We start from the raw sequence: 12,181 nt of genomic DNA on the forward strand, positions 1-12,181 counted from the left end.
ATAGTGGGCATAGTTGACATTTACTTACTTTTTTGTGTCTGGGGTCGATGTCATTTATCCTATTTTTAGTACGTTATTTGTCTTTTTATTATTGAGTTGTAGGAGATCTTTATATATTCTGAATGTCAATATTTAGTCAAACACATATAGGTAATATTTTCTTTCAGTGCGAGGCTTGTCTTCTCATTTGGTTAAGGTATCTTTAGAGCAAGGGGCAGCAAACTACATCCTAATTTACTTTTATTTTATGTTTTATTATAGAGACAAGGTCTTGCAAGTTGCTCAGGCTGGTCTTTAAACTTCTGGGCTCAAGTGACCCTCCTTCCTTGGCCTTCTAAAACTCTGGAATTACAGATGTGAGTCACTGTGCTCCACCCTATAATTCTAGATTCATGCTTAGGTATAAGTTACACATTGAGCTAATTTTTAAGTATGGTAGAATTCAATTTATAAACCAAGGCCTGCCTCAGCCTCTGTGGGAATATCAAGTTGTTCCAGCACCATTTGGTAAAAAGGCTGTCCTTTTCTTACTGAATTACCTATACTTATGTTTAAACATGGCACCATCTATCCCATTGGTGTTTTCGTGTATCATCATACTAATAACATATTTTTTATTTCATTTTCTACATTGTTTTGTCTCTACTAAGTCTTTTAAATGTCCATATTAATTTTAGTTTAAGTTTGTCATCTTCTTCAAAAGTTCATTTTTGTATATAATGTAAGGAAGGGGTCCAGTTTCAATCTTCTTCATATGGCTGGCCAGTTATCCCAGCACCATTTATTGAATAGGGGGTCTTTTACCCATTGCTTGTTTTAGTCAGTTTTGTCAAAGATCAGATAGTCGTAGGTGTGTGGCCTTATTTCTACACTCTGTATCCTGTTCCTTTGGTCTATATGTCTGTTTTTGTTACCAGTATCATGCTGTTTTGCCTACTGTAGCCCTGTAGCATAGTTTGAAGTCAGGTAACAGATGCCTCCAGCTTTGTTCTTTTTGCTTAGGATTGTCTTGGCTATTCAATCTCATTTTTGTTTCCTTATAAATATTAAAATAGGCTTTTCTGGTTCTGTGGATAATGTCATCAGTAGTTTGATAAGAATAGCATTGTATTTGTAAATTGTGTTGGGCAGTATGGCCATTTTAATGATATTGATTCTTCCTATCCATGAGCATGGAATGTTTTTCCATTTGTTTGTATCTTCTTTGATTTCTCTGAGCAGTGTTTTATAATTCTCATTGTAGAGATTTTTCACTTCCCTAGTTAGCTGTATTCCTAGCTATTTTATATTTTTTGTGACAATTGTGATTGTGATTGCCTTCATAATTTGGCTCTTGGCTTGGCTCTTGTTCATGTATGTGAATGCAAATGGAAAAAAGAAAAAGCAGGGGTTGCAATCCTAATTTCAGACAAAACAGACTTCAAACTAACAAGGATCAAAAAAGACAAAGAAGGGCATTACATAATGCTAAACGGTTCAATTCAACAAGAAGATCTAACTATCCTAAGGCAGTTAAAGAACAAGAACGATAAGGAAGAATGTTAATTTATCATCTAAGAACGAGAAATACAAAACATGCCACATGACTTAGTCTCCAGTACTTAACCTCTCCATTGACATAATAAATTTAGAGGGTCCTGAAATTTTCTTTTATTTTACAGGTACAATAAGAAACCTGGGTGTTGGCTCACAGGAGACGAATACTGTGTCTGTAAAGATGCCAGAGGCCAAGGAGACACATTCATTTTCAACACGAGCCTAAAGTCAAAAATCAAAAGTTAATTTGTTTATTAGCTCTAACAGTTTTCTGGTGAAGTCTTTAGGGTTTTTCTGTATAAGATTATGTCATCTGAATAGAGGTACAATTTGACTTTCTCTTTTTCAGTTAGATGCCTGTTATTTATTTATTTTGTCTGATTGCTTTTACTAGGACTGGGGAGGAGCAAGATGGGGCAAGGATGAGAAGAGACTGATCATTTGGCATGAATTTACAGTTAGATAGGAGGAATAAGTTATGGTGTTCTGTGGCATGGTAAGGTGACCATCGTTAACAGTAAAATGCTGTGTAACACAAAACTGCTAGATGACAGGCTTCATAATGTTCTCACAACAAAGAAAGGATAAATACATGAGGTGATGGATATGCCAAATACCTTGCTTAAATCGTTACACTATCTGTTGATCATTATATCATACCATATAATTTTATATATGGTATAGTTTATTATAGTACATATTATTATATGTTTATACTTATATACATCATATGCATTATATTATACATATACACATTACACAATATATGCATATATTATATATAATTATATATAAAATGATATCCCATAAATATGTGCAAATACAGTGTGTCAATAAAATAAGTGTGTATTGTCCCAAAAGTAAATGAAGAATTGAATTGAATTGCCCCTCACATTCAAACTAATGCTGTATTATCTTCCCAAGGTTACTGATGCTCAATGATTCTCTTGAGCTAGGAAGGCTAGGTATATCAGAATATCTTTAATCCACCAGGGATTGGTTTTAGGTTTCTCTATTTAAACAGTGATCAAATTATGTGGATTATATGGACTTTTAAAATAACACTGAAAAGTATACTTGCTGCATATTTTCTTCTCTGTGTGATACTAGAAACGACTCTAAATTGAGAACAATAGATTGTTTCCACGTTACAACAATGTCACTTAACAGCTAAGTGACATTGGACAGAAGAAAACATGGTACTTCAGTTTTCTGAGTTGGTAAATTAAAATAAAATCTACAAACAATGATTGTAAGTGCTGAATTACTGAAACACAACAGGGTTTGTTATACAGTAGTTTTCCATTGTGCATGATAGGTGTCAGATATCAGTTTAGATACTGTTTCTTAATTTTTCTATGTTTGCCTCAGCAAAGAGAATAAACTTCACTAGGAGGAACAACAACAACAAAAAAACTTCAGAAAGAATGAGTAGGTTTTAACCTATGGAAAGTTTGTGGCTTCAAAGGCATCCCCATCTAAATTAAGACTGTTTGATAAGGGTGAGGTTTTTGCTGATGGTTGAGGAACTATTTTAGAGATTTTGGAGTCCACAGTATATATTGCAGAGTTAAAACTGAATTCTGAAAAATTAAGCAAACCTTATTTTTAGCACATTTGATCTTAGTCAAAAAATCTTGGATAGTTAAAAATGTCATTCATTTATTTATTTGAAGTTGTCGAGACTGTTTTGCCAGCATAAGAAAAGATCCAAGGATTGAGGACAATTGCTCTTTCTATACAATAATTTTGTTTACTACTGAGGCTGGACTACTCATTCTGCCATATATTTTGAATATGAAATGTTGAGTGCAATAGCAGGAGAAAGAAAATCCCGAGTGTGTGGTGTGTGTATGTGTGTGTGTGTGCACACATGTACGGGAAAGAGCTCACATGAATGGGAGTGTTTATGCATGTACAAGTTGTGCATGTCTGTGGGTGGTTGTGAATATGTGTGAATAAGTTAGAGAGAGTGCTGTTTTTGAGAGTGTTATTGTTTTTAACTGTGATGGTGTTAAATAAAACCATATGTGAGTTCAATGAATATATGCTATTTTGAATGGAAAAATATATACATATTAAACTGTTACAATGCTCATTGAACTTAATTAAGCATTAGTTTTAGGGCCCAAATAATTTTGAATCTGTATGCCATTTATGAAATAAATCATCGATAAATTCAAAACAGAGAATTTGTAATTAAACTTGTAAACATACTCTCCTTTCATTTGTAACACATTTCTTTTAATGATGCACAAATAGTTTCTATTGTGTTAGACTGAAACTACTTTCTTAGACATTATTGAAAGTATAATTGATAAAAATATGGGGTATTCATATCTATAATGTGTTGCTTTATAGTCTAAATTGACAAATTCAATAATAGTTTTAAGTTTTTATGTTTGTTTGTTTTGTTTTGTTTTGTTTTGTTTTGTTTTGTGGCAGAGTTTCATTATTGTTGCCCAGGCAAGAGCGCAATGGTGAGATCTCAGCTTACTGCAACCTCTGCCTCCTGGGCTCAAGCGATTCTCCTGCCTCAGCCTCCTCAGTAGCTGGGATCACAGGTGCCTACCACCACACCTGGCTAATTTTTTGTATTTTTGTAGATACAGGGTTTTGCCATATTGGCCAGGTTGGTCTTGAACTCCTGACCTCAGGTGATACACCCTCCTCGGCCTCCCAAAGTACTGGGATTACAGGTGTGAGCCACCGTGCCCAGCTAAGTGTTTTTTAAAAAACATATTTTAGTAAGTTGATTTCCTCAGATAGCTATGTTACGTCGATAAATCTAATGCAGGAAAAAATATGCACATATTATAATTTGCATAAACCGTATTGCACATACAATAGAAATGAATTGTTTACATAGTACTCTAATTTAATTTTGGAATTTAGTGTTGGGAGTGAATCCTAGAGTTGAACTATTCCTAGCACCTCATTTTATATGAGGGAATTCAAAGTATCTTATTAGTCTGTTAAATGAGTTGCTCTTTGTGGAACTCTAATCTGTCATTAAAGTCCCAAGACCTATGACACCTTTTAATTGAAATCATCTCTGCTTTTGGAAAGTTTTTAGTCATTTGTAAATTTGAGTTGTTAAACATTCTGACCAATTTTTCCTATAAAGAAAATTTTAAGGGCAAAATGTGCCATTGGTTTTTGAGTTTTACATAACTCTGGAAAATCATACTGTGTGGTGTGAATTTTGATGTGTGGGGGAGATGTAAGGCTCTATATGTAGATGTGGGGAAGATGCTTGGCTATAAGTTGATGTAAGGGGAGGACTATAAAGTTTACTAGTTTGTGAACAGGTTTAAAAAATGTTGCTGTCTATTCAGGGAGTTAGGAAATACACTACTCAAAGCCTGATTGTGTGGAACCATTACTTTATCACTATGTTGATGATTCTCAAGTCAACATTTTCCTTGAAAACTTACTTGAGCTCCAGGCCTATTTATATAACCATTTATTGACTACCTCCACATGGACATCCCAAATTTATCACACAAAAGCCTCCTCCTCTTCTCACCAAATCTATTTCTAGGCCAGGTCTTTACAATAATACCGTGCTCTATCCAGCCAAACACACAAAAAAATTGAGGATAATATAAGATTCATCTTTTGTCTCTCCCTGATTCCCGACCCAGTCAAACCCTGTGTATTTTATGTCTTAAATATGTATTAATTTTTCTCTTTTGACTTTAGGTTCATAGTAATATTTTTCTACTGGATTACTCTGACAGTCTTTTAACATTTTTTGGCCTAATTTTAAATGTGTTCTCAGAAAAATTGTTAATTATTTTTAATGTAAATAGTTAATACTTATATTCTTTTATGCAAGATTCTTAGGTGACTTTTTATCATTTTAAAAAGAAACCTAAACTTCTCAAAATAAAATCCAAGGCCTTTCATGATTTGTCTCTTTCCTTAGTAATCAGGCGTGATTCCTGTCACCATTTCTGCCATTGTTCCAGCAAAGCTGATGTACTTATAGAAGTCTTAGCCCTTCACATTCTGAATGCTCTATTCTTTGCATCATCTGCTTTTCTGCTTTGCCCATGCTTCATCATTTTGTGTACCTTTTAAGACTCAGAGTAAATATCATCTCTTTTAGTAAATGTTACCTAATGTGCTCTTCTCCCATATGTCAACATTAGACATTCCTCTGTAATGGTCTCTTCCTCTGCTTACATAGCATTTAATAAAACAATTGTGTTTTCGTATGATTATCTTTCAGATTGACTAAACAGCCATGTCATAAATGAATAAAAAATAAGAATAGTCTTAGGTTTACTATAATATTAAATAATTTTAATATTATTGGCCATGCATGGTGGCAAACACCCGTAATCCCAGCACTTTGGGAGTCTGAGGCAAAAATACAGTTGAGGCTAGGAGTTAGAAATCAGACTGGACAACAAAGCAAGACCTTATCTCTACAAAAAAATGAAATATTATTATATGGACTGAAATATTACATGGACTGAATACAGTATTGTACTGTATTCGAGATAATATTATCTTCCTTTAATATGTAGGTTTTTAAAATGAAAAAACTAGTGAAGATACAATCAGTATATTAAGCAAAATCAGAACCTCAGAGATAAGAAGAAAAACATACATGTTGCTCAGAAGTATTTATCCAGGGAATCAAATGAAGAGAATGACTCGAGGTTTCACAATGTATTTAAAGTTCACAGGCACTCATCCTTTTGATCGTCTCTCTACTTTAAACATCTTCACTTAGCTTATGAGCAGGAACATTGATTTTTACAATAAGGATGTCAGCTCCTATTTACAGCGTTTCTGACCTTGGCTGAGCACAATCATCACAATTGCAAGCATTCCTACATTTGCTGTACTCATATTGCAAATCCAGGTCATTGTAATTCTTGCCCTAGGTAGGTTACTTGACCCAAATTATTAGTTACTCATTTCATAAATAGATTTGTTTGTCATACTGATCTTATATGTAACACTTTTGTACTGTAAAAATTTAATACAGTTAGAGAAATTTGGAAAACTGTTTACAACACAAACATGGCTAGTAATACTTCCTTCTAAATTATTTCTATTGATAAATATAATAAAGCATATATTTTGAGGCTTGAGGCTTGCAGCTTCAGAACCTGGAGAAATCCTACATGGAAAACTAATTTTTTAATTAGAACTTAAAAATATGACGTCTTTAAAAATTTGATACCACAATTTTATAATAAACTGAAAAATTCATCAATTAGCTTAAAAACTGATAAGTGTAAGAATGGCTGAAGAAAAATTTATGTGCAAAATAAGCTTTTCAGTGGGCAAGGATATCTAAATGTCAGATCACTTAAATAGAGGCATAATATCAATTAATAGTTTACTATGCTGATCATGGATAAGTGACAGTTCAATTTGAACTGTAGCAATAATTTTATGAGACTTCCATTTCATTTTCACAGTAACTCAATACAACATTATCTTTGTAATATACAACAGATATTGGGCTGCCACTTTTAGATATATTTATTCAGGTCAAATAAAATTTATCTTTTTTAAAAAAAGCTTTTTAATAAACCTTTGAAAATCTGATTCCCCCCCTCCTTTTTTTAACGTAGCACAAACCACAGATATCACTGGAAAAGTGATTAATGTTACAGCCTCATCAAGTGTACTGAAACATTATTGAAAAATACAGATTCATAGGTTTCTGGAAGTCTTTTATGTGTTTACAGCCTTGCAGAGCTTCCTAATTTTCAACCAGGTACCCCTGACACTCTTTCTAAGGCTAGGAATTGAATGTCCCATTATTTCTCTTCTTACATGGCTCATCATTAGAGTTTTTTTCTTTATTATTATTATTATTATTATTATTATACTTTAAGTTTTAGGGTACATGTGCACATTGTTTAAGTGGGAGAAAGATATCGAGTTTTGGAAAAAGAAAGTGAAGCAGAGCCACTCTTTGAGGAGGTCATAGTGGCTAGAGCAGTGCAGACCTCTCCACAAGCTCCCACTTCAAAACTGGTGCTTTCTCCATCCTGTCCTGTCCCTCAGGCTGAAGTCTTTCATGGCTCTTCTACAATCTTCCCATTCCTTCCTTCCAGATGACCACTCCCACAGTTCCTCAGTCCTTCCCACATATGGATAAGCTCTAATCCTTCCATTAAACTTCTTTATTTGTCTAATTCCTCTAGTTGCTCTCTTTCCTTCACTGGACCTAGACTGATATATCACCAAAAGATAATTAATTCCTTATCTCACTGGGATATTCTATGTCTGTGAAAGAATGAATAGCTTAGAAGGACACACATGGTGCTTTGAGGGAGAACAGGATCACCCACATGTCAACTGGGTCAGTCAAGTCAAACCTTATGAAAAAACAGAAAACAGAGTTAACATCAAGGGCACTTTTATTCACAAAACAACTGGAATTTCAGAAAAAAGGCATACCGAAAATTATCTACTCCAAAATCTTAAACTTGAGCTACAAATGTGGCCATTGGAATGTATGACTTTTCTGAAGACAACTAAGTGACTGTTACAGTTTACTCACTAGTGTTAGTGAGGACTGGGGCTAGAAAAAGTGGTATTCTCTGTGCTTAAAGAGTTTAAACTCTATTAACTATAGGTTAGAAAGTCACAGTGGCATTTTTTTCTTTATGAGTTAATAGCTTGATTGTAGCACACATGCATACACATATGTATAATATATATTTATATATAATTTGTCAATTTAAATGTTTGATTTTGTAGAAATCTAACTACTTTTGGGAAACTAGTTGAACCCCTTTATGTTCTCTGTGAAGCAAGAGCTCTCCCCCGTTGCATATAGTTTTTCTATATTATGAGTTTCCTTTGGGTAAAACTTTAGAGAGAGTGTCAAAATATAATTATTTCAATGTAATATACACTTTATTTCTTGGCGGTCTTGAAGATCATCCTGGGGTGTGATAATTCCTTAGGAGAACTTTGAGAACATAGCAAATAGTTATGCTCACAGCTATGATTTATTGAAGTAAAAGAATACCAAGAACAATAATAAAGGGAAAAGTCTCATAGATGGAGTCTAGGAGAAACCAGAATCCAGCTTCCAAAGATTCTCTTCCACGGGAGTCACACCAGATATACTTAGCTCAGTAACAAGTGGTGAGCACAGATGTGAAATGTCGCCAAGTAGGAAAGTTCATTAGGCACTCAGTGCCAGAGTTTTCACTGGAGGCTGATCACATAGATAGTCTCGCCTGGTAAGCACACAAATCTCATCTCCCAGAATAGAATCAGGTGTTCTATATAAACAATATTGTTTGCTCAAACAGTTTAGACACAGTGAACCACTCTTGTAGATTAATGTTGGGAACCTTCCCAAAATCTAAGTTCTCTTATGCCAGCCAAAGGCCAATCTTGTAAGCAGGCCTTTCAAAGGAGACCAGTCAGATCTGGGTGTTAACTCTTTTCTATACACCCTATATTTACAATTTGATTGAAAATATACCTGAACAAGTACCAAAGCTGTGGTCATTGATGTCAGGGCTTAAAGATCAGGTAATCCCTTTTAGTTTAAAAACGTTTGAGAGAATAGAGTGAGGCTTCTCTCATGAGATTTGGTAAGATAGCTACTCTATGTAAAACACTGATGGCATATGGTTTGGCAGATTTGTCTCAGCTTGAAAGACATTGGTTTTATAGCTGATTTCCCAATTTTACACACTAACCAAGACAGTATCTCTTGAATTAGAGTATTGGATTCTGTTATTTCATGTTTTAGTTTCCTTTTTGGCTTGTTTGTTTTTATGAAAATAGGTGAGCTGTGTATATCAATGTTATAACTCTGTTCAAAGATATTCTAAAACAAAAATCATAATCATACCCTGTTCTCCACACCTGCTTAACGGTTAGGTATTTCCTTCTCTGGATACTTACAGCTACTATAATGTGTATTTATGATAATGCATTACATTGTAATGTAAAATTTATTAATGTGTTTCCATCTCTCCCCAAAAGATGAGCTTCTAAAAAATCATTACTGTATCCAGAACTACTATACTAACTACTACTAACTGATAACAAATATTTATTTTCTAATGAGTAAATTCTTTGTATATATGTTTGTACTGAAGTAATGGCTGATAGATTAAATAACAGACATTAAAAAATTATAAAGCAGGTCTTGTAAACTTAAAGAAAATTAAGACATGATAATACAGCATGTTTCGTTCTGCATGATTTATTTTAAAAGCTTTTAGGAAAGTCATTCTCTTATTTGAAAATGAATATGATCTTTAGATATTCCAGGGTCTTTAGAAGTTGATGCTAGATTAGAAACATGCTTGAAACATTTAAACTGTAAAACTGCAGAAAAAAAAAAAAAAAAAATGGTAAGTTCCATAACCCAACCACAAGAAAGAATATAGTGTAAATGACTTCTAAGGCTATTATGGCTAGATAAACTGGAAGAAATGGAGAGTATTTCTCTTCTTCTCAAGTTAGAGTCTCTTCTCTTTCCACCAAGAGCCAAGAAATCTTATATAAGCCCTCCTACAACAGCAGGCATTTAGATTCATAAGTTCCTTGGTATTTACGGGCAGCTGCAGCTAGCAGAACTGGGGGGGAGTTCTACCTCCTGGAGTTCTAGAATTTGCAAAGATCTGTGCATAACAAATAGGAACAGAAATAACTAGAGCTATGGAATGCACTTGAAAAAAGTTCTGAAAATCGGAACTTGAATCAATTTCAACCTTAGTGACTGAGATTTCTCTGCATTTACAATGCCAATCTTCATCCAAGGACTTGACCATTTGATAAGGTATTTAATTGGATGCATCAAAGTAAGGGATGGGAAAAATTTTGATAATGGGACAGCAAAATCTATTTTCTAAGCATCCCTTGACTAAAGTTTTTTCTCAGTACCCAATATGGAATTGTTAAAATGCATGTCACAACCCTATTATGACTATGTTCACTTAAAGATTACTAGCTATTAACTCTTTAATTTTATTCAGCAATACACACTTAAGTACATCTTTGTTTTCCTTACAAAAAATCCAGGTATCAGCAATGTGTCTTCTTTCACCATATAAAGGTTACTTTTTTCCCAGTATAATGGAATAGATAAAATCTATTTTTACATTTGCTCTAGATTCAACCAGTTGATAGATGTTCCTCCTCCTGTTCACTAGAACCACCAACACTGCTTACATTACGGCCTTTCCTCTGGGAATTTCAGGATGCTGCTACCCCTGATATGATGCTGCCTCATCTGAATGGGTCTTAGAGAGGTAGAAATGTGGGTTAGTCCACACCTTCCTTTTGACCAGCTTCCTTTTTATTTTAGATTCATACACATGTAACCTAAAATGCCTACAAACTAGTAGAACCAAAGGCCTTACTTTAAAAGAAATATCTTTCTGCCAGACTTCTCTCTTATCTAGTCTCACTCCACCCTGAGAGCTACTTTCAAACTTTTGTTTTTTGAGATAGCTACATCGAAATCGCTAAAAACAATATCTTATAGCACTATTTTTATGTAATCTAGTTCAGATTTTATGTACTGAATTTCTTCTGTGGTGGATGAGGATTTAGCTCACTTACATTACTTCCTTTCCTCCATAACTCCTACCATTATACTTATATCATTTTTAAAAATTTATTATTTAATGAGCTTTACATATTTAAATATTTTCTACATATATATGTGTGTTTGTATATATATACACATATATGTGTGTACATATATATACATATATGTGTATATACATATATGTGTGTGTGTGTCTGTATATATATATATATATATATAATTTTTCTTTTTAAAAGGCAGTGTCTCACTCTGTTGCCCAGGTTAGAGTGCAGTGGTGCGAACTCGGCTCACTGCAAGCTCCGCCTCCCAGTTTCACGCCATTCTCCAGCCCCAGCCTCCTGAGTAGCTGGGACTACAGGCGCCCACCACCACGACCGGCTAATTTTTTGTATTTTTGGCAGAGACGAGGTTTCATCGTGATAGCCAGGATGGTCTTGATCTCCTGACCTTGTGTTCCTTCCACCTCGGCCTCCCAAAGTGCCGCTGTCTGGTCCTAAAGTGTGCTAGCTCTCTCTTGCATCCTCTTTCTCTCTCTCTCTCCCCACCCACCTCCCTCTCTCTCACTACCTCCCTACACACACACACACAAACACACACTTTTTTAACTTTTATTTACTGTTTCCCTTAAAACTAAATTATGCTGAAGTTTGTTGGTTGCTGATGAACTCTTCTTACTCTGGTTGTTTTTGTAGTGTTTACTTACTTTCCATACCATTGGTATTAGTCATCACTATTGTCTAGCAAATATTTCTCATTTTCTTTCTAAGTACATGGTAGGATAACACTTCTTTGCACTTTTGGATTTATGCATTGGCTAGTGAAATAGAAACAGGAGTACGAGCATATTTATTGAGACTGGTAAATCATAAATTATTTCCCTTATACATGCTACAATTTGTAGCTGTGATATCATTATTGTTGAAAGAAACTGGTTTCAAGGACTTTGCTCATGAAAATGATTAAAATTTACTAGTGTTCTTTAGGAACTCACTATATAAAAGCCATTAGTCAAATAAGTGATCATTAATCTCTTACACATGGTGGTGGAAAAAATCCTAAAATTTGGTCCTAAGTGTATGTATC

The 12,181-nt window shown here is 34.2% G+C and overlaps 1 annotated feature.

Annotated features, from left to right (window-relative positions):
* Window positions 9,871-10,418: an enhancer, noted in NCBI's record as "OCT4-NANOG hESC enhancer chr7:85557785-85558332 (GRCh37/hg19 assembly coordinates)". NCBI's record gives its function as "activates a minimal SCP1, AML or CMV promoter by ChIP-STARR-seq in naive H9 embryonic stem cells {active_cell/tissue: H9 hESC(naive)}" and the evidence as "EXISTENCE:reporter gene assay evidence [ECO:0000049][PMID:30033119]".

Source organism: Homo sapiens, chromosome 7, assembly GCF_000001405.40.
Source record: "Homo sapiens chromosome 7, GRCh38.p14 Primary Assembly".
NCBI lineage: Eukaryota > Metazoa > Chordata > Mammalia > Primates > Hominidae > Homo > Homo sapiens.